The following is a 21,008-nucleotide window of genomic DNA, read 5'->3' on the forward strand; positions in this document are numbered from 1 at the left end:
GTCAAGGCTGACTCATGTCTGCAGCCTCCAGATCCTTGCATGGTACAGGGACAACGTCAGGCAGTACTGAACATTTTTTGAAGCCGGACATTAAGACATATCCATTGTTTCATCCTGAGTGTGTAGCAGATTATCTTCCACAGGGTGCGTCCTCAATGGATGCTTGCTTAATTGCTTTTCTGAGTTCAAATGATGTATTTTATTTGTATAGATGAACTATTATATTTTACACCTTCTCATAACTCGAACTAATATAGAGGAAGACAGGCAGAAAGGAAGGGTAAGGTATAGAAAAAGGAAGAAGCTGACTTTGATCTCTTTCAATAATAATTAAAAACTAATTTAACCCATGTTGACTGAATGCACAGCTGGTAGCAGACCCTGTGCCTGGTTGCTGCCATGGAGAACTATAGATGAAGTCATCCCAGAAAATCACGCAGGACATGCTGAGGTAGGGCCACATTGTATTTGAAAGATTCGGCCTGAGATTGAGACTTGCAGCATACATAGCTTTGTGCTTTTGATCATTTTTCATAAATCCCCATTGTTTCATTTGCTCTACCCTAAAAAGTTATTGTTCTTTACTCCCCTCCCACCCCATCCAATAAAATAAAACTAATATTATGGTGTCATTTGAAAATATATTTATGTTTGTTTTCTCTATAAAAAGAGATAATAATGTTATGTTCCAATAATATTAAGTTGCAATGTTATTTGCAAGATTGCAGAGCTTTTAATTTTCTGATTATTTCCACAGTGGGAGTTTCAGCTCAATTTCAATGAAGACACTTCTATCTGTTTCGGTTATTTTTTTTATTACAGCTAGAAGCAACAATAATTGCCTTTAGTGTAGGAAAACATCAAGGAGGAGACAATTGTTGTCCCCAAAGAATAAGATCATCAGGGCAAATTTTGCTGTAAAAAATTTGTAAATTAATTGCAGAGTCCTATAAATATGATATTTACTAAAATTGCATCGACTGCTGTCTTCAAAAACTTCATCTTTTTCATATGTCTTTTAAATAAATAAATTTCTTGAGGTCCCCAGAAACAAAAAGGGATTACAGCCAACAAAATACTAATAATTCATATACGTACATTATCCACATGGATGGAGTTAATGCTACTAGAGAGAACAAACCCAGAGACAACTGGGACTGAGCCTTGGCTCTCAACTTTAGTACCTATTTGATCTTTAATTAGCTATGTAACCTCTCTAAACCTCAACTTCTGCCACTTACTAAAGGTTACCATGAGATTAAATTAAATAGTGTGTATGAAATGTCCTATTACACAGTCTGGCATAAAATATGTGCCAAATAACTGGCAGCTGTGTTAATGACGATAACGATTTTGTTACATTGCTTCATTCATTCAACACATATTGAGTACCTACTATGTAACTGTTCCAACCACCGTTCCAGGCACTAAGTGTTGATGATGATGATGATGATGATGAAGAAGAAAAAATACTCAGTCATTTTGTTGCTATACATGCGCTGACATGAGCTGGTCAATCTATTGCAAAAGACCTCACAGTGGGCTCTTACAGAATTCTGGTCATGTTTACAAAAAAATGATATCACAATTATTCTTTGCATGCCCACAGCTTGCCAAGTGTTTTCTCACTCAACACACATTCCCAATACCCTTTTATCCCCCACTTTTCTTTTGCTTACCTTACTTTAATACAGAAGTTAGGAAACTTAAAACAAATTTTTCAGCCTCCCTTGCAGCTAAAGTCTGCTAGGTGATCACGTTCTTGCCCTTGAAATATAAGATACCTGCTGAGAATTTCCATAGAGCTTTTTATTTCATTTTCTAGGGATACCTTTTCCAGATTTTCTCAACCTATGCAACATTTATCTGAGAAATGGAGAGTGACTGAAGACAAGCACCAAGCATTATTCATCTACATCTTACCATGATTCATTTACATCTTACCATGTGCCTAATACAGAGTGGATGCTAACAAAACTGCATGGAAGCTGACAAGATATGAGATGTAGATATGATCTGGACATGACCCAAAACAAATATGCTTTTTTGTTGTTGTTGTTCAGAGTCAGAGTCTTGCTCTGTTGCTCAGGCTGGAGTGCAGTGATGCAATCACAAACATGCTTTTTTAGATTATTATTATTACCATCATAATTAGGGTCACTACTATTTACTGGGTAATTACCACAGTTATTCCCTGTGTTATCATATGTCTCTTCTAGACAGAATATAAGGTTTTAGTGGAGAAATGGTTTTTTTTCAAGCTCCATGGGGACTTCAGAAGAGTTCTATGTGCACATATGTAGGTGGAAGACTACTCCTTGTGCAAGAGATAGCACCTATGAAAATGAGTCAGGCATAAGGATGATATATGAGCAAAACATTTTTGGAAATAAATAAATACTACTTTTAGGGATAAGGAAATTAGTTTCTTCTATCTTCCTTACATAATCTAGTTCTTTATAAAATAGAAGTAATTCATAAAAATATTTTTGGAATAAAAAATTAGAAGATTTAAATAAGACTCAAGGCCAAGTGTGGTGGCTCATGCTTGTAATTCAGCACTTTGGGAGGCTGAGGAAAGGGGATCCCTTGAATTCAGGAGTTCAAGACCAGCCTGTGAAACACAGGATGACCTTGTCTTTGCAAAAAAAAAAGAAAAGAAAGAAAATGAAAATATTAGCTGAGCATGGTGATGCATGTCTGTAGTCCTAGCTACTTGAGAGGTTGAGGTGAAGGAATTGCTTGCAGCCAGGAGTTTGAGGCTACAGTGAGCTATGCTTGCACCACTGCACTCCAGCCTGGATGACAGAGAGAGACCTGTCTCTTAAAAATGAATAAGATTTAAGTCCTTTGCAAACAGTCTACCTCTGCCCCCAAGTTAATCGCTGCTATATTTTAAATGTATCTTTTTAGACATTTTTCTATGCATCTGCTTATTTTTAATATGTTGCCGTTGGAAACACATCAGTGTGTGCACGTGTGCGTACACATATTTATGTGTGTGTATGATAGTTTCACATAAATAGTATCATAGGTTACATAGAAACCTGCACATTTCTTTTTCATTTCATAAGATATATTAAAGTGCTTTCCTAATCTCTGCAAACAGTAAACCTCACTAGTTTTAACTGATGTGTATGGTGTATGATTCTATTATGAGGCTACCCCTTAGTTTGAATATGCCCCTTCTTATAGGCATGGAGGTAGTTCAACAACTATTCCGACCTAATATCTTACTAGCAATTTAATGATGTCTCCTCAAACTGTCACCCATGCTTGATACTCTTTACTTTTTATTTTTTTCTGATCTAATGTGTGATAGTATATAATTGTTGTCATAATTTACATTTGCTTCATGTTGTTTTATAAAGAGTATCAATTTTCCCACGTTTATTGGCCTTTTGAATTTCCTCTACTCTTCATTGCCAGTTTACTTATTTTTTCTTCTTTATTATGTTATTACTACCCTAATTATTAACACGCGTCCTACATATATTTAGATATTTGATATCATTTCTTTGTATATTTTCTACATATGCAAGAAGGTTTTTCTCCTGAATTGTCATTCACATTTTAACTTTTTTAAATAAATACTTTTAAATTTTGATATTTTCAGGGGAAATCAATCTTTCCTTTAATCCCTTATGATTTTGTGTCTTGTTGAAAAGACACATCAATATTAAGAACATATTAACCTAAATTTCCCTATGATATAAATGAGAATATAAGAATAACTTATCTGAAACATATTTTCCTAAATGTCTTGAGGTCAGAACTGATGATATCTTTTAAAATATATAGACAATTCACCCAATACCATGGAAGATACAGTCTACCCTCTTCTCAGCCATTTGCAATGCTACCTTTAAGGTAAACCAAATTATTTTATCTGTGTGAGTCTACTTCTAGATTCTTTGTTGAATTTGAAATATAATTTATATTGTATATATTTTTTTCAAAATTGTTCTAAAAAAAATTATTTCTTGATTTTTGTTTTTGAAAATTGTTTGGAATTTCTACACACCAAAACAAATTTAGAATGAATTTGTTAGACTCCCTGGACAAAAAAATCCTGTTTGATTTTGAGTGGATGGCATTCAAATAATAGACTGATTAAATTAGCTAAATAATAGATTGATTTTGTAAAATGTTAATATTGATTCTTTTCACTTATAACCATATTTTCTCAGTTTATTTGAATTATTTTATATCTCTTATTAAAATGTTATAAATTTCTTCAAAAAGGCTGAACACATTTCTTTTTTTTCTTTTCTTTTCCTTTTTTTCTTTTTTGAGATGGAGCTTTGCTCTTGTTGCCCAGGTTGGAGTGCAGTGGAGCGATCTCAGCTTACCACAACCTCCGCCTCCCAGGTTCAAGTGATTCTCCTGCCTCAGCCTCCCAAGTAGCTGGGATTACAGGCATGAGCCACCACAGGCAGCTAATTTTGTATTTTTAGTAGAGACAGGGTTTCTCCATGTTGGTCACCATGGCTGGTCTTGAACTCCCGACCTCAGGTGATCCGCCTGCCTCCGCCTCCCAAAGTACTGAGATTACAGGCATGAGCCACCACACCCGGCCAGGCTGAACACATTTCTATTTAAATTTGGCACTACACACAGTATTGAAGTTATAGCTACTGGGAAATACTTTGGCTAACTTTCCTAATTGATAATTGATATACCAATAGGAAAATGTAACATTTGAATGCTAAGCTTACTCAGGTCACCTTGTAGAACTCCTTCACTAGCACTAGTGTTTGGTCAGTTGATTCTTAAGAACCTCACTTGCCAATTATGACAATATTATTGCTTTTTAATAAAATATAATTAACTTATTTTCTTTTGTTATTTAACATCAAAATCTAGGGCTTTATTATCTACTCTGCTATATCCCTATATCTAAAACAATGTTTAGTTAGAACAATACATTAATAAGTGATTAATATATTTTTACTATAGGAATGGAAAGTGAATGCTATTGGTTAATAGTTTCACTGCTAAGTATGGCACAATGAAGATTTCTGATAATTATAATTTAGAAAGCTATTACCTCTAGTATGCTAGAATTCTTTTCTTTATTCAGGATTATAAGATGTTTTCTTAAACGACTTTTGTTGTCTATTGAGGAAATATAACTTTTCTATCTTAAACTATTTTATAGCAATTATTTGTACAGTTTTCCAATATTGGCCAGTTCTTACATTCTTTAAATAAACCCTACCTGATTAGGATATATAATTCTTTTAATATATTACTGGAATCTCTTTACTAAAATTTTACTTAGGACTTTTGCTATTATAGTCATTAGTGAGATTGGTATATAATTTTATTTTACGTTACTATCAATATCCATTTTTGACATCAAGTTATAGTGACATTGTAAAATGAGTTTTAATTTTCATTTTTGGCAATATAGCAAACTACTTACAATTTAAAACCCCCTCATTACAAAAACACATAAAAATGAAACATACACTATAACAAGCATCCCATATATGCTTAGATAAACCACCAATAACATAAAACAAAACAAAACAACAAAATACAAAGAGGGAAGAAAACCTCAAATCATAAGAAAAGCTGACAATAAGCTATTAATGTAATTTCCATTTTCGTAATTTAGATACTTCAATTTGAATGACTATACAGAGACAGGGGACATACTATTGTGTATTTAAAATAAGGGTAATTGAGACTTACCTGATTTTATGCCAGAAAAAAAATTCCTCAAAGAAAAGTTAGAAATAAATTTACCTGTAGTTACAATAAGCCAACAATAAAGTTATGTTTGTTTCAAATAGGAATCAGAGACTAGGGAAATGTTGGTTTTGAGGATTTGTAAACATGATGCTGTTATGGATATATTGAAGGCTTATATTTATAGAATCAACTTAATGTAGTATTAAACATTCACAAGCTAAGAATATGTGTGTATGCATATATAAATTGTTAATACCTTTTGTATTTATGATGAAAATAAAGGCAGAGCCTCTCTGAGGGACTCTCCTCTTCCTAGGCCATGCAATGTTCTCAAATAATCCCACTAAAGAAGAGTTCACGATCTAAAACTATAAAATAAAAAAGTAACAATTCACTGTGAGTTAAGAAATACAAAAATGGCTAGATTTAATAACCTAAAGGTTTATAAAATAGAAAATCTAGATTATAGAAATTATAAAATAAATGCATTATATATTCTAATTGATTAAAGACATTAAAAACAAACTAAAACTACAGGAAAATAATAAGATGCTCTATTAGTCACCTCATGTTGCCCTAACAAAATAGAAGACTAAGTAGCTTAAATACTGACATGTATCTTCTCATAGTCCTGGAGGCCAGAATTCCAATATTAAGGTGCCAGCATGTTGTGTCTGATGAGGGCTCTGTTTCTGCCTTCTTGCTATGTTCCTACATGGACAGGAGAGAGAGATAGAGAGAATGCTCTCAGTGTCTTTTCTTATAAGGACAGAAATCTCATTATGGGGGACCCCACCCTTACAACCTCATCTAAACTTAATTATCTCCCAAAGTGCCCATCTCCAAATATCATCGCATTGCGGGGTTGAGGCTTCTACATATGAATAGGGAGTGGAACAGAAAAGACATTGTGCATAGCAAATGTTATGGAAAAGGAAAAATTAGTTAAAAGCAAACTAACTAGAACTTCCAGAAATGAAAAAATACTATCAATAAAGTTAAAAACTTAATGGGAGGAATTGACAGCATACTATACACGGATTAAGAGAGAATCAATGAACTAGAAGATATGTTGGAGGAAATTATCTGGAATATAGCATGGAGTAGTAACAAAATTGGAAATGTGAGAAAGACATAAAAAGACATAGAGAACAGAATAAAATGCAGAAATATACTCCAATACAAAGTCCAAACAAATTGTATATATAAAATAAGGAAACAATAATATATAAAGCAATCACATATAATAATTTCCCCAATTGTTGAAAGATGTGAATTTTCAGATTAAGAAAACAAAGACTATCAAACATGAGCAATTAAATGCAAAAACACATAGCCTTCTTCTCATGTAAGACAGCAGCTGCTGGAAAGACTAGGGCAGAAAGCATGGCTAAGACAAAACCTTTAGAGATACTCCAGGTTTTAATGAGAGCAGTGAAGCAGCCCTATGAAGACTGGAGACAGAACATCAGGTATTAAGAAATCTCTGAATGCAAAGAAATCTTGAATGAAGTTGGGAGCAAACAGAACTCCATAATGTTCCTGAAAGCTAGTAGCCAAAATTTAAAGCAGAGATCTTCAGAAATCTGGAGGCTGAATGATAAACATAAACAGATCCTCAAATTTTGCAAATTTTTAGATTTCCTGCCTGCTGAACATAAAGTTCAAAGCTAGTGGTAAGAATTAAATTTAAAAATAGCTGCAATAAAACCCAAACTACACTTACCTTCATGTTAGATTTGTGTAACCCTGGCCAGTGGTAGTCTGAAAGAAGAAAAATCTTTTTGGCTAAAAAATATTCTAGAGGTAATTTAGCCTCTATCATGTCCAACATAGAATTTAAGTTTATGAGAAATATGAAGAAGCAAGAAAAGGTGATGTGTGATTGAGAAGAGAAACAAAAAATAGAAGCATACTAGAGAGGGCTTAGATGTTGAAATGATAAGAGAAAAATAGGAATTGTAAATACATTAAAGAATCTGGCAGAACGGTATATAACATGTACAAACGAAGGGAGAATTGCAATGGAAATAGAAATCATAGAGGAAAAAACAAATAGAAATTCTATAAATGAAAAGTATGATATCAGAAATAAATGACTCATTGGATGATATTAAGCACAGACTGTATAGCAGAGGAAACAAATCAATGACCTTGAAGACAGCCAATCGAAATCATTAAATCTGAAACACAAAAAGAAAACAGAGTAAAAAGAAAAGAACAGAATGTCCTAAATCTGTGGAACACTATTAAGTAGTCTAACGCAAGTCTGATTTGAGTCCCAGAAGTAAAAGAGATAGATAATTAAACAAAATACATATGTAAAGAGATTGTAAATAACACTGATGTAAGTATCAACTAACAAATTCAAGAATAACACCAAACCTTAAGAAGCATACATTGAAGAGAAACCACATTTAGGTACATTGTAACCAAAGAGCTAAAACCCTAAAATAAAACAAAAATCATAAAACAAGTAGAAAAAAGGACATATACATACATGAACAAGTATAAGAATGATGTCTAACTTGTAATTAGAAACAATGGAGGCCAAAAAACATTGGAATATTTTAAAGTGCTGAAAGAAAAACAAATCAATCAAACTAGCATTCTATATCCAGCAAGAATATTCTTTATAAATGAAGATCAAGCAGACCTATTTCCAAAGATGCAGAGGCTGAGAATATTTTCCTTCAATAGACACGATCTTTAAAAAATATCACAAAAAAGTTCATCAAGTTGAAGACTTGATCCAGATGAGACTCTGGATCTTCAGAAAGGAAGGTAGAGCATTGGAAAGACTAAACATACAAATAAATGTAAAGGCCTGTAAAAAAAAAAATGTTGGAAACTTAGAAAAAAAAAGGGGCATTAAAAAGTACTACTTGCAAAAGTTTTTACAAGAAGAAATAGAAAGCCTAAAAAGCCCCACGTCTATTAAATACATTGAATTTGTTCCTAACACTTTCTAATTAGTTTTCTATTGCTGCTTATAACAAATAAGCACAACCGTAGTGGCTTAAAACAACACAAGTTTATTATCTTAATCTGCTATTCATTCTCTGTCTCCTTTGAAGCTTATGTTTTATTATTCAGCCATTAGATTTTGGAGTTCTCAGGTCTGGCAGTCAGGAGTCCAAAGGCTAGATCACATTCTTTCTGGAGGGTATTGGAAAGAATCCAGTTCCTTGTCCTTTCTAGCTTCTAGAGGCCTTCCACATTCCTTGGCTTGGCCTCATCTTCCATCTTTAAAACCAGCAGTGTGGTATTTTCAAATCTTTCTGACTCTGATTTCCTCTTCTGCTGTTTATCCACTTTAAACAACCCTTGTAATTACATTGGATTTACCTGTGTAATCCAGAATAATCTCCATATATTAAGGCCAAAAATCAGCAACTTTAATTGTATCTGCAACTTTAATTCCTCTTGCCATAGTTACATATTCATATATTCAAGTGGCACATAATATATTCACAGATTCTGGGAGTTAAGATGTACATATGTCTTTGAGATGCCGTAATTCTGCCTACCATACCTACACACTAAGAAAACTCCAGGCTCTGAGGGCTTTATTGGTGAGTTCCAGAAAATGTAAGGAAGAAAACTACCAATCTTACAGTCTCTCAGAAAATACAGAAGAAACCCTTCTCATCTTGTTTATATCAGAATAACTCTCATACCAAAACTTGACAATGACATTTTTACAAAGAAAATTATAGACTAATGTTTTCATGAATGTAGATGCAAAAATCCCTAATATGATATCATATGATATTTTTATATATTGAATCCACGAATATGTACAAATAATATTAAATCCATCATAATTCTATGACATTTAGTCTAGGTTGGTTATTATTTGACTATTTATATTTGGAAAGCAATTAAAATAGTGTACCACATAAATTAATAAGAAAAATTATAAGATTATTTAGTATTTGATAAAATTCAACATCCATTTTTCTGGTAAAAATTCTCACAATTACTTCCCTATTCCAATAAGGGACACTTGGGAAAATCCTACAGCTTCTATAATAGTAGATGACAGGACATTAAACACTTTTCCCCTAAGACCAAGAGACAGGCAAAAGTGTCTGCTGTCATCGCTAGTGCAATAAGGCAAGAAAAAGAAAGAAAATAAAATATTACATTAAATATTGAAAGGTAGCTGGGTTTGGTGGCTTGTGACTGTAGTCCCAGCTACTTGGGAGAATGAGGCATGAGAATCCCTTGAACCCAGGGGGCGGAGGTTATGGTGAGCTGAGATTGCACCACTGCATTCCAGCCTGAGCAACAGATCTACAGTCCATCTCAAAAAAATAATAATAAATGAAAATAAATAAATGAATGAATAAATATTATAAGGATGAAGTAAACCATCATTATTTAGAGAGAATATAAGTGTGTGCATAGAAAATCTTGTGGGATATACATAAATATTACTAAAAATAATAAATAAATTTAGTAAAGTTGTAATATACAAGGTTAATACACAAAACTTAATTGTATTTCTATGCGCTACCAAAATAATTTAAAAATGAAATTTAAAATGTATTACCATTACAATATCATCAAAATATCAAACAAGGAATATATGTAACAAAAGATGTGGAAGATTTCTATGCTTGAAAAAGAAGGTTTGAGCAGAGGGAAATTAAAGAAGACCTAATTAATGGGGATATAGACCATATTTATGAATTAGAAGATTCAGTGCTGTTAAGATGACAATTTTTCCTAAATTGTTTATAGACTTTTTGTAATCCCAATCAGAACCCCAGCAGCCTTTTATTTTTTATTTTTATTCTTTTTTTGAAATTGACAGGTTGATATAAACATTTATAGGTAAATGCAAATAATCTAGAATAGCCAAAATTATCTTGAAAAAGAAAAAAATTACCTGGTTTCCAAACTGCAAGTAATTAACAAATTGTGTATGGGGGAAAATACCTTAGTAATTATTACTATGTAGATCATAGGTTTGAACTCAAAGCATAAAACTTTCAGAAGGAAATCAAAGAATATCTTTGTGACTTTGAGTTAGGCCAACATTTCTTAGAAAAGACACCAGAAATACTAACCACAAGAGAAAAAAATAATAATTACATGTCTTCAAGATGAACATTTGTCTCACCAAAATACACCATTAATAAAATGAATAAGAAAAATACAGAGTGGGAGAAAATAATTGTAGCATATCTGACAAAGAACTTATATCTGGAATATATAAGGAACATCTGAAAATCAGTAGTAATAGTAATAATAACAACAAATCCAATAAATAGGACAACAGCTTTGGGCAAAAACTATACAATGAAAACATAGAAATGACCGGTAAGTACTCAGATATAAGTTAAGCCCTGTTAGCCATTCAAAAAACATGATATGAAAACACAGTGAGATACCACTTCATATCCAGTAGACTAACTAACATTAAAGCCACTGACAATACCTAACATCTGTGAGGATGTAGAGTCATCGGAACTCTTACGCATTGCTGAGGGAAGTGTAAAATGACACAATTACTTAGAAGGATGTTTTGACAGTTTCTTATAAGGTTAAATGTACACCAATCCTATGACTCAGAAAATGCACTCTTAAATATTGATCCAAGAAAAACAAAACGTGTTTAGATAGTCTTATACAAGAATGTTCATAGCAACCTTATTCATAATAAAGGAAAGTTGTAAACAACCCCAAAATCTGTCAACTCTTGAATAGATTAATAAATTGTTATATGGTAATACAGCAGAACACTATTCAACTGTAAAAAAGAAGAAACTACGGATACATGCAATAACATGATAAATCTCAGATATATTATATCATGTGAAAGAAGTTGGAGGCAAAATCATTTATGCTGTTTGACTCCATTTACATGAAGTTCACAAACAAACAAATCTAGTCTATCATATTAAAAATCGAAAGTATCTCTGGAAATAAGGGAACTTCTTAGGGCAATAAAAATGTTCTCGTGTGTGTGTGTGTGTTACAAAAAGTTGTATAAAATTGACAAACTTCATCACACTGAAAACTTATGATCTAAACATTCTATTTATATAAAGAATACCACAATAAAACAACTTTGTACCTAAACACATCATAATAAAATTCTAGATGCCAAAGACTCAGAGAAAGTCTTCAAAGAAACCAGAGAGAAAAGATAGATTCATTACATTGCACTGTCAGATGTTTGTTAGTGGATTCAAATGGCAATATGATGTCAGGAAAAAAGAAATTCCTTCCACACGTTCCATAAAAAAATATAAAAACTCACTGCACAATACCTTCTGGAAACAGACCAAATAAAGCAATCAGAAAAAGATTTTAATTGTATTTTTAAAGTATAATTGTATTTTTAAAGTATTTCAATTCATTTTAAAACTTAATTTTGTTAAATTTTATGTAATAAATTATAAAATTAATTATTTAAAAATATTAATATTAAATTAATCATTTAAATGCATGTATACTGCCATAAAAACAATTGAATTACAAATTCAATCAGGTTTAGAAAAGATAATTACTCGAGATTCCTTAAATGAAATCTCTAATGATTGAAATGAAATACTTCTGTAGAAATGTTAAAAAGCAAACTGGATGCAGAGAAAGACTAAGTAACAAATGTTGGAATATTAATTTGAGACATTTCTCCAGACTATAGCACAAACAGATGGAAAGTTCGACAGTACAGCTGTGTTTCATGTGGAATAAATCCAGAAATTTTAACATCCATCTCATTGAAGCTCCAGTTGAACAGGCAACATTTAAAGACAAGATGGCTGAGGATTCCTAGAATTAAAGGAATTCAAGATACCCCAGAAAGAAAGAGCTCACCAATTACCAAGCAGAATTAATAAAAGAACATAAATAACCATACCTATATGCTTTCTACTGAACCCATGAAAATCAAGCATTAAGAGAAAATCCTGAAATATTACCAAGAAAAAGATTATATTATTCACAAGGAACTGAGAACACAATTTATCTCAGACTCTCATTAGAAACACTGCAAGGCAGGAAGACACTGGTGCAATGCTTTAAATATTGTTGATAAGAAAAGAAAATTAAAGCCTAAAATTTTATACCCAGGAAAAATACCATTTTAAAGTAAGTGTAAAATAAATATACTTTTTGGACACAAAATCATTCAGAAAGCCACGGCCTCTTCTGAACTTTCTGTAGCAAGGAAAAAAATTCACCAGAAGGAAATAGTGGAATTTGGGATGAAAAAATGAACTAATAAATCAGTTAGACATTGGTGATTATAAATAACTACTGGCCATAAAAATTATAATGTACAAGTTATACATTATAACTATAACTATAATTTATACATATAAAAATTATAAATGTATAAAAGCTAAAGCTACTGGCAAGAGTAATGTGGGGAATTAAAATATGAAGCTGACCGTGGGGGAGGATAAATGGAAATAAACATGCATGAAGATTATTGTCTTAGGATGAAAGTGAAACTATTTCAGCCATTCTAATTTATTTTATCTATTCATTTTAAAGAGAATCCATTCCTATATTACCTGACTTATTTATTTATTTATTTATTTATCTTTTGAGAGAGAGTCTGGCTCTGTTGCCCAGGCTGGAGTGCAGTGTTGTGATCTTGGCTCACTGCAGCTTGGACTCCTGGGCTCAAGTGGTCTTCCCATCTCAGCCTCCTCAGTAAGTAGGAGTACAGATGCACGCTACTATGCCCAGCTAATTTTTTTATTATTATTATTTGTAAAGACAAAGTCTTGTTATGTTTTCCAGGCTGGTCTTGAACTCCTGAGCTCAGATAATCCCTGCACTCGTTAGCCTCCCAATGTGGTGGGATTATAGGTGTGAGTTGCCATGCCCAGCTGACACATATTTATGGTAGGAGAAAAGGCTGGAAAATGTGCCTCAGTGTTTATAGAACATGGCCAGTTGTTGTTGTCATCTTGGAAATTTTCTATATTTTTCTGACTTCTTCCCAGAATAATTAAATTTTCAGTACAAATAAATGTATGTATTGTAATCTCATACGTTTTTTAAAAACATGGAACAAAAGCATAGAAGAAAAAGGTAAAAGTGTATTTCTCTAAGTGGTGGAATTATTGGGGCCTCATTGTCTTTTCCACTTTTCCTAATTTTCTACAGTAAATATGTTAAACAAAGGAATGAATACTTAGACACCAAAGTACCTCACAACTAATCCCCAGGAATCAATACTTAAAAACTTGACACAGTATATGTAGTTAGTAGAACTCTTTCCAAGATTATAAAGTTATTCTTACAATTTCTGTTTTTAGTTTTCCAAACGCATTTCATTATGTTTTATTTTCAAGAGCTTTTTGAAATCAGTTTGCCTTTGGTTGATTCATATTTTAATAGAGATAAACTTATCTCTGTCCCCAAAGAGTTCACAGTGTGAGAGGAATGTCAACAATAATTAGACCCAAAGATTGGGAAAATGGGAAATGAAGACACTATATCACTTTCTGATGGAATCAGCTTCTCTGGTTACATCATAGATGACATTTCTAACTGTCCAAGAGGTGCGTTGAGCTTATAAAAGTTTCTACTTCTTCATATTTTGCCAGTGCTTTTTCCAGAGTCCTCTTGTGCTCTCCAGAGAAATATAAAAGAATTTCTGGACCCTGTGCTTCAAGACTTAGGGCAAATTATTAAAAAGCCAGTCGTTTCAAAGAGCTTGAGTTTTTCAAATAGGGCAGACCAGAAATGTATGTCAGCCTCCACCACTGAACAGTAAGACATGAGTAAAATGGGGATGATGTTACCCGCTATTCACTCTGTCGTCAAGGAAGGTAAATCTCAGATGCACTGGCAAGATGTGTCCTCCACATATAGCCATCGTTACGTGTGATATCTCATCAAACCAAGAAGGAAAAATATGTGATATATGGGCTTTATAGAGTTAAAACAAAAGGTTGGATGACTCAAGTTTCCACCTTTCAATCCCAAATCCTGCAAACAGCCTAAGAAGCTCAAAAATCGTCCCTATGTTAAACAGCATGAGATGCTGGTAAAACTGGACTTTGAAGTCAAATAGCTCTTGTTTCAGTTTTAACTTCTGAAATGTCTCTGATAATGCCTTAGAAAAAAATAGCTTAGCTTTTGAACCTCAGTTATTGTCATCTGAAAAATGGATACAATCAAACCTATTCCGCAGTTTTTTGGTGAGGATTAGCAGGAATCAGTAATTGTTATCATTATTCACACGTAATAATATATTGTACTTTCTGAGTACTTAAAAAGCACCAGGCACCATGTTATGTATGTTTTATCCAAATCATCCTCACACAGCTCTGCGAAAGAGGTGCCACTCCCATCCCTGCTTTACAGATGAGGAAACTGAGGCACAGAGGGTCTAGGGAGCTCCCACACACCTCACTGAGCTCATCACTCATGGCTTTGTAACAGAACAGCCAGTGTTTGGAAAATGTAACCAAAGTCAGCACAAAAAGATAAGGCCTGTGTTAATTTTGCTTGCATACCAAGTTGTTCTACTGGGTCAAAGCTTCGGAAGCTACTTTTAAAATGGCCTTTTCCACTTGCAGAGATGGGTGTCCCACTAGCAACCATTCTCAGCCATTGACCAGGAGTCAGTGGGTTTCCAGCTCCTCTGTTTTCGCAGGGGCTGGTGCAATAATGCAAAGCAGTTGGCTTCACTTTAGATTGGCCTCTTCCTGCTCTTGCCCAGTATCTGACCCTGTCACGGCTGATCAACCCCCCATGGCTGGCCAGTCTGTAAGTCTGTGCATGCAGAAGTCATAATCTTGTATCTTAATGCAAGTCATGCAGGGTTTAGTAATGTGGAATTTGGAATTTTTTTTATTTTAAAAAAAGCCGTTTTATAGATGCAAAGGTAAGCTGAAAATTTCTTTTTTTTTTTTTTTTAATAAGATGATTCAAGATGCCAAAACAGGGGAATGTGTTGACTTGAAGATGGACATTTTTATTTTTAAAGTCTAAAAATGAATTCTTCTGCTTCTCATTGCCAAGTTTAAGATTATGTTTCTCAGTAGCTCTGATTGCTGAGCTTTTTCCAATATCTGCTGTAAAATGCTAGGGGCCCCCTCAAGTTTGTAGCCTGTATGCTCTGGGGGCAAGTTGCATTCTGAGATAGATGTTAAAATAAGAACTAAGAAAGTTTTAGAGATCTACTGAAAGAGATTTTGATTGGTGGCCAGTCTATTACTAATAAGATAAAAGGAAAAAAAAGATAGATTTCTTTATAAGTGGCTTATTTTAAAGACAAAACAAAATAGTTTGGGGGCTTGGACTCCATTAACCTACATTCAAACAGCATCGCATTCATACCTTTTAATACAAATAATTATTACTTTCTCTCTTCTTCAGGATACCTTGCACATAGCTTCATTTTAGCCATGACCTTATATCATTTTTGTTTGGTTTGGTTTGTTGTTCTTGGAGTTTTTTGGGGTGCATTTTCTAATCAGTGGATCTCCCCACCAGACTATGAACACTTTCAAGAAGACACGGAATTAAATTATTTCTGCTTCTCCAGTAACTATCTTAGGACCTGACACATTCTATTTCTGTACAGCATTCATTAAATTTCCCAAGTTCAAAAGATGGCCTGTTAAGTCACAAGTAGGCTTTCTGGACTGTGTCTTCTCTGAGCTCTACTCAAACAAATAAAAAGACAGAGGAAATTTTTTAGGATTTCACACATTCAAGCTTCTCAGCAGAGTTTCAGGTCCCATTATTTCTCACTGACCTGCTCTAGGTCACACTTTTTGCCTATTCAGTGGCACAGAAACAAGCAGCCATGACCAGTATTGGTCAGAAGCTCCTGTGTCCTTCTAGAACCAATTCAGCCCTTTGTGAGCTGCAAGGCCCTGAGAACTGCATGTCACTTCCTTGAAGCCTTGATTTCTTCACTCTTAAAATGGGAATCCCAGTCATGACCATGCCTGCCTCATGAGGGTAGCACAATCATCTGATGAGTCACCGTTGAAGAAAGTGCATAATGACGATGCAGCAGAGGGCCAGAAAATGACACACATCCGCACGACTGACTCTCTTTTCCACATAGAGGTAAGGGACGGAAAACCACAAATAATTATAAAATGTGGCCCACACTGCTGAAACAACTCTGCTTTTCAGGTAAGGATACTGTAGCTCTATAATTATATATAATTAAAATGCCTTGGCTAAGGTTTAAGCCATAGTTTCTGACAGCTCCTAGATTAATCCTTTCAATAACAACAATAATAGTTATTCAAAATGCTTATAGAGTCATACACTCTTGCTCCCAGATATACTATCAACATTGATGCTTTCCAAAGGTGGGCATGGGCAACACTGATGCTGAGTGAGATAATTTTAGGTGGTACACAGACTAATATTTAGAACAAAGATTAATAAATATCTCTTTTTTTCCACAGTAAGAAATTTCTTTACAGTATGGAATATGAGTTCTTCACAGATAACAGTGACAGAATGTCTTCTTTGTAAATATATTTGTTTAAGTACTTTATCAAATGAAGAAAAGTTCATTTAGAAAAAAAATGTTAAGTGATAAGATTGCAAAGGCATTGGATGAATGACTAAAGTTTGGCAAATGTTGCTCAAATAGATCTTCACGAAGTTGTCATGAAAACTTCAAGACATGGTGCAGTGGCTCAGGCCTATAATCCTAGCATTTTGGGAGACCAAGGCAGAGGATGGCTAGAGGCCAAGAGTTCAAGACCAGCTTGGGAAACACAGCAAGACCCCTGTATCTACAAGGAAAAAAAAATTTTTAATTAGCCAGATATACTAGTGTGTACCTGTAGTTCCAGCTACTCGGGAGGTGGAAGTGGGAGGTCACATGAGCCCAAGAGTTGGAGGCTGCAGTGAGCTATGATTGTGCCACTGCATTCCAGCCTGGGTGACAGAGCAAGACCCTGTCTTAGAAGAAAAAAGAATAAGAATAAGAAGAAGAAGAAGGAAGAAGAGGAAGAGGAAGAGGAAGGAGGAGGAGGAGAAGAAGGAGAAGAGGGAGAAGAGGGAGAAGCAGCAGCAGCAGCAGCAGCAAGAAGAAAATAAACTTGAAGGCATTCAAGACATTACTAACATCATCTTTTAATTAGAAGACCACATTCAGAGAAGCCGGAGATGGCAAAAGGCTCTCAGTTATTAAGGCCCAAAGTCAAGAGCAACAGTAATTAAATCCAGGGTTTCTAACTTTAAAATTTTGTTTATGATATCACCCTTCTCTAGACTGCTTTCATTCATTTATTCATCTATTAATTCATTAATCCAATTGGTTAATCCTTACTGCACATGGATCGCCTTCAGCAACATAAAAAATAAACCCAAATGACCCAACATGAACTGTACCTTAATTCAGCTCATCTTGACCAAAAGATCCTGTTTAAGGGCCATCACCTTTTTCTTTGCAAGAAAAGACACAAAGTGGTTTCATTTGAGAGCCCATCTCCCAAGCCTCACAAGTTCAGGACTGAAAATATCCTCTATACTGTTGAGAGTTAAGTTTCTATTTTTGGGAAAGTCAATCTCCTCGGTTCAAAGAAAAACATTCAAAAAGAGGGACCAATACACACAGTACAGGCGGCATCTTGAACATCAGATACCCTACAAAATGAAATGCTGATCTATGAGTAAAGAAATCAGAACCATATGGCTTTTCCTCCCTTAATAGACATATGGGCTTTACAAAATAAGGAGAAACATACTTGGCAAGATGCATCTCAAATTTTACTCAAACCACAAAACTTTAAAAATATCGTAACATGTCTAATGAACCCAAAATGTGTCCTTGTTCACCCAAATTAATCTAACACCATTCTAGTAAACATTTATACCTACTATGTGCCAGGCACATAAACACACACACACACACACGTTGAGAGCAGGAGATGTGAATGGATGCAAGCGTGTAGTGCAAAATAATGTATTGATACACGTTTGTGGGATATACCATGAGAACTCAGAGGAGAAAGAAATAAATTGTGTCCCAGAGTAGAGCATTGGTCTAAGAAGGCTGCTAAGAAGAGGTGACGGCTGAGCGCAGTGGCTCACGCCTCTAATCCCAGCACTTTGGGAGGCCAAGGTGGGTGGATCTGCTCAGGTCAGGAGTTTGAGACCAGCCTGGCCAACATGGTTAATACCTTCCCTTCCTTCCTTCCCTGTTAATACAAAAATTAGCCGGGCATGGTGGCATGTGCCTATAATCCCAGCTACTCAGGAGGCTGAGGTAGGAGAATCACTTGGACCCATGAGGTGGAGGTTGCAGTGAGCAGAGATTGTGACATCGAACTCCAGCCTGGGTGACAGAGCGAAGAGGTAACATTTGCATCAGGCCTCTTTGGAAAAGTCAGAGCCTTCTAGGCAAGAAAGGAGAGGGAGAAAGTTGCCGGCCAAGTGATGAATAGGAATAAAAGTCCTAAAAATACAGGTAAGTGATGAATCCAAGGAGTTTTCCAGGAAGCTGCAGCCTAGCGAGCTGGAGCAGATACAGGAGAACATCGGCAGGAGAGGAGACTGACGTGGTTGGCTATCTGTGGGAAATAACAACTTCTTTATTAATCATGAAATAATATATACTGATGGATTTTTTTAAGATAGAAGAGTGAAAAATGATGTGTTAAGTTGAAAGTACCTCCTCAATCCTCCCTTCCCAGCCAAAATTTTGTTGAGGAGGAAACAACAGTTCCCTGGGTAAAAAGTTCTACACAGGTGTCATAGAAGATGTGTGTGTGTGTGTGTGTGTGTGTGTGTGTGTGTGTGCATGCACGCTTACAGATATAAACCTTATTATATTTAATGTTGTGAGGGGATGTTTAAGCACAGGTGTGACATAATCAGAGATGTACTGTAGAAAATTCTCAAGGGTCTCAAAAGCCACTGAACAAACAACACACAGGAGCTTGGGTGGAGACTCGCGGGGCACTGCAGGAATGTCTGGTTCTGTTAAGCCCTGTCCTTGGTGCTTGTAATAGCTTTCTCAGACCCAGAGTTTTATGAAATGTCTCTTACTCGTCTTTTTTTTCCTGCTGTGCTATTTACTTTCATTCATAGAGTAGCTTCAGTTCAATAAATGATGTGTTTGCCATCAGAACAATTTGATTCTCGTTCTAATTATAGCAACAAGCTGCTTCCCCTAAGCATATTATGGGTGTTTCATTATTTTAAATTGTTATCTTCCATATTAATTACAGAAACAGTTGATCTTTTCTGATAAGCAGGCAGCTGCAAATTCCCTTTTTATGTCTCATTGTAATAGGTGAAGCATCAGGTAAAAATTAAATCAAATCCTAATGCAAGACATGCTGAAAGCACATTTGGGTTGCAATCCATTGCCTCCATTTGGCTGGGACTTGCTGTTTTCCAGAGGCACAGAGCTGCCTGGCTCAGCCCTCAGGCAGGACACACCCTCCAGCTAGCTTGGTGCTGCTGACCAAGATCTCATAAAAGCCTCCTCCCCAAGGAAAATGAATAATTGATACAAGGAGTAAATCACCTCCTGAAATGGGGAAGGCCAGAGAGACAAATGACTCCCTGTTTTGACCCATAATTGGGGCTGTCACTCACTGGAAGGAGAGGGCAGGGTGGTGGGACATCGGTGTTCTGGGAAAGCCACTCCCTGCAAGGAGAGAGGCCAAAGGCTCAAGTGACTCAGCTTAGATGTTCCTGATTATGATCAGAAGTGGGGACAGGTGGGGCCATCCCAATTCAGATCCCAGAAGCTTGAATTGCCCAGACACGTCTCCAGCCTTCCCCTTCCTGGTGAGGACTGGTCACGTGTCAAGGCCAGCCTCAGGGGCAAACGCAACATGCTTCTGAAGTAGTGGCCTTTATTTGATGTGGAGTGAGCCGGGCCATTGTTCGCCCTGCACTTCCACCTCTGACTTATTTATGTGTACTCCATCTCAAGGTGTTGAAACCAGATACCAGAAAGGTAGGAGAGAGGAAGAAAAGAAAAAGGACAGACACAGAAAGATGTAGAAAAAATAGAAAGATGAAAGGAGGAAGGAAGGAAGGAAGGAAGGAAGGAAGGAAGGAAGGAAGGAAGGAAGGAAAGAAGGGAGGGAGGGCGGGCAGGCGAAGGGAGGGGAGAGAAGAAGAAATCCTATAATACAATGGGATGAAGAATAGATAAAGAAGGCAAAGTGAAGGAAGACAGACAGGAGATTAGTGAAATAAACAGAGAGAAAAATTAGTTCACAGAAACATATGATAGTACTTCATAATTGTTAAAGTTGAGTTAAAAAATTAACTCTGAGCTCTCTAGTAGCTAAAGTAAAGAAGAAAACAATCAGTTGTGAGAACCAGATAGG

General features: G+C 35.1%; 1 annotated feature.

Annotated features, from left to right (window-relative positions):
• Window positions 16,375–17,574: an enhancer, noted in NCBI's record as "CDK7 strongly-dependent group 2 enhancer chr14:98960824-98962023 (GRCh37/hg19 assembly coordinates)". NCBI's record gives its function as "activates an origin of replication core promoter dependent on BRD2, BRD4, P300/CBP, MED14 and CDK7 cofactors, with strong dependence on CDK7, by STARR-seq in HCT116 cells {active_cell/tissue: HCT116}" and the evidence as "EXISTENCE:reporter gene assay evidence [ECO:0000049][PMID:35650434]".

The sequence above is a fragment of the Homo sapiens genome, chromosome 14, assembly GCF_000001405.40.
Source record: "Homo sapiens chromosome 14, GRCh38.p14 Primary Assembly".
Lineage (NCBI taxonomy): Eukaryota > Metazoa > Chordata > Mammalia > Primates > Hominidae > Homo > Homo sapiens.